This window comes from Homo sapiens, chromosome X (assembly GCF_000001405.40).
Source record: "Homo sapiens chromosome X, GRCh38.p14 Primary Assembly".
Classification (NCBI taxonomy): domain Eukaryota; kingdom Metazoa; phylum Chordata; class Mammalia; order Primates; family Hominidae; genus Homo; species Homo sapiens.
The window spans coordinates 121,903,581-121,906,338 of NC_000023.11; the positions used below are offsets into that span (position 1 = coordinate 121,903,581).

The 2,758-nt window shown below is 37.4% G+C and overlaps 1 annotated feature.

Annotated features, from left to right (window-relative positions):
- Positions 355–937: an enhancer, noted in NCBI's record as "NANOG-H3K27ac hESC enhancer chrX:121037788-121038370 (GRCh37/hg19 assembly coordinates)". NCBI's record gives its function as "activates a minimal SCP1, AML or CMV promoter by ChIP-STARR-seq in primed H9 embryonic stem cells {active_cell/tissue: H9 hESC(primed)}" and the evidence as "EXISTENCE:reporter gene assay evidence [ECO:0000049][PMID:30033119]".

The window sequence follows — 2,758 nt, forward strand, 5'->3', positions numbered from 1 at the left end:
GAGGCCTGAGAAGTTCATGCCTTTTGCAGCAGGGAGGAGTCTGGCCTCTCCTGTTCCTGTGTGGTAACCTGGGATTCAATCGGTGAGATGGGGGTCTGTTAACAGAAACTTCTCTTGCTTTGCTGAGAGATTTTTTTCCTTTTTGCCCAATAAATTCCATTCCCCTTATCCTTCAAAGTGTCTGCATGCCTAACTTTCCTTGGTCATGTGACAAGAATCCACCCGTTTTTCCCTAAAACATTTTTGGTGCCCAACATGGGACTTGAGAAAGGGCGAGTACCATACAAACCAATAAATCCTTTTTTTTAAGTTCACTTCTAAGCCTTTTTCTTTTGGGGCCTCTTCTGACGTAGAGAAAACTGTGTACCACCCTATGCCAATGGCGGCAGGAGCATGCAGAATGGTCTGGCAAATGGCGACTTCCCTTCTCCCCTCCCGGCCAGGGCTGGGATGCATGGCCCGAGGGTGCCCAATGTCAGAATGGCCAGTGATTCATGCCCTGCGTCTATGGAGACTTCTTCTTCCCCGGACAAGGGATCCCACTTGGTTGGACAGCAATTAAGTTTATCTCCCTGGTGGAGGAACCATTTGCATAAGAATAAGAGATTTTTCCCCAGGCATCCTTTTCTTTTCTCCACCCTGTAAGCAGTTAACACAGCCCTGCATTTAAGCTGTCTTTTCCTTTTCTCCACTGGGTCAAGAGTTAACTTTACGTGAGTTTTCTTACCAGGACCCCAGCTATCACTGTATGTATTCCCTCTAAAGCTTTATTTATGAGAAAGGATTTGTGAAGTTGGTCTTAAACTGTAGCCAATCTGGTATGCTTTGCATGACTTTCTGTATGGCCAGTAGCAAACTTTGTTGCAGGTCTCCATCTTGTTTTATGTCCTTGGGAGCATGACCTGTAACCATGTGGCAATGTTTTATTTAGCCTCTGCCATTTTACAATGGTGGCTGGATTCAATCTTGGCTCAGGGAATGAGTTTTTGTCTGGCTTGATATCTGCGTGACCTTTACTATTTGTTGATTCTCTTCCCCTCCACAAACTGTCTTGGATTTTTCTTTCTCTGAGCCTTTAGTAAAGTTTGAAAGCCGGAAATATTAGCTGCTTGTTGTGGCTAAAGTTGGGTAATAAGGGGATTTAAAAGGATTTTCTTAAAGAGTGATCAGCTTAATTAAAAGTGGTTATTCAAGTTACAGGTATATTTAAAAGGCCTTTATAGTTTTCTTTTCTTGGACCTTGTTTTGCTGGAAGAAGTGTTTCTTTTTCCTTTTTTTTTTTTTTTTTCTCAGTTGACTGAATTACTTTTTTCCATTTTGCTTTGCTATTTTTAATGCACATATGAGAGGGGAGAGACCTCTTATGGTACCCCAGGAATTAAAAATGAATGGATCCCTCTCAAAATTTGTTCTTGCCTCCCAGTTATGCCTGTTTATTAGGCCTTAAAAGTTGCATGTTTTCCTAGACTTGTCTCTTAAAGGGCTCCCCTGCGAGGCCAATAATCCAAATAGGAGATTGGCAAATGAAAGGTCTTATGGTGACTGGGTTTTCTTCTGCCTGTCTGTGTAGTTATATATGTGTTGTATATGTGATGTTTATAAAAAGAGCTCTAATTAATTGGCCTAAAGGAAGACAAGCCATTGGATCAAATTTTTTTAAGAGAAGATAAACGCTGTGGTACTTTTAGTTCATATGACTGTAATCATTGAGAAATAAAAACAATATTAAAGATTATTGGTAAAATGCAGATGTTATCAAAATGTAAATAGGTGAACTAAATTATGCAGGTCAGATATTAGGTTTGCTAAGTGTTTTAAGGTTATAAAATGATTTTGGGGTTTTGAGAACCATTTGACTTGGCAGCTTTACAGTTGTTAAGGCCTGGGGACACGAATTAACCATGCCCTTAATTATGCTAGAAGGAGTCGAACCTTGGCTACAACTAACATATAATTAAAACAACTTCCCAGATCTTACATTAAAGTTAAAATTGCCAGGAGTCACCATTATAACATGTGATTGAACCATTGGAAATACTTTTACATGCAAGGTGTGTGAGAAGAGTAAGATGTGTTTTTAGTAAAAGATTATAAGAAGGTGTGGAAATGTAAATTATTCTTTACGGGTTAAATGATTTTTTAATTAGATAAGATAAAGCTGAAGGTTTGAACAATAATGGAAGGCCTGCAAAAATTAATCTTGCAAAAGAAATTCCATGGTGTGCATATTGACTAAATTCAAATGGGTATTATTATATGGTTTTTCTGTAAATTGAGCATTTGAAATGAAAGCACAACAAGATACTCTTAAGGCACTAATCTGCTCTTTAGCAAAATTTATAAAAGTTATAATAGATTTTTGCTTTTTTACATTTCTAAGTCATCATTTTGACAAAATAAATAAGTTATAGTAATCTGGAATTCTATTTCATAACACCAAGTGTTTTAAGCCTAACATGTGTAACAGGCTTCCCAAAAATCAAACTTCGGTTTCAAAATTGTCTTTCATGATGCCCAGCTTTTGGATGCTACAGAGGGCCCCTGGAGTATCTAATAGAGAGGTAAACAGGATTATTTAACATGCTTAGTTACATGGGATTGCCAAAATGGTGTTCAATATTCATTAGGTTCTATTTTGCCAAATAATACTAATATATGTTTCAAAATTGTGTGGGATTTCTAAAATTCTAATGTCTGAAGTATATGTTATTAATTATAATTAATGTTGCTATGTTATGATAAACAACAGAGATGACCG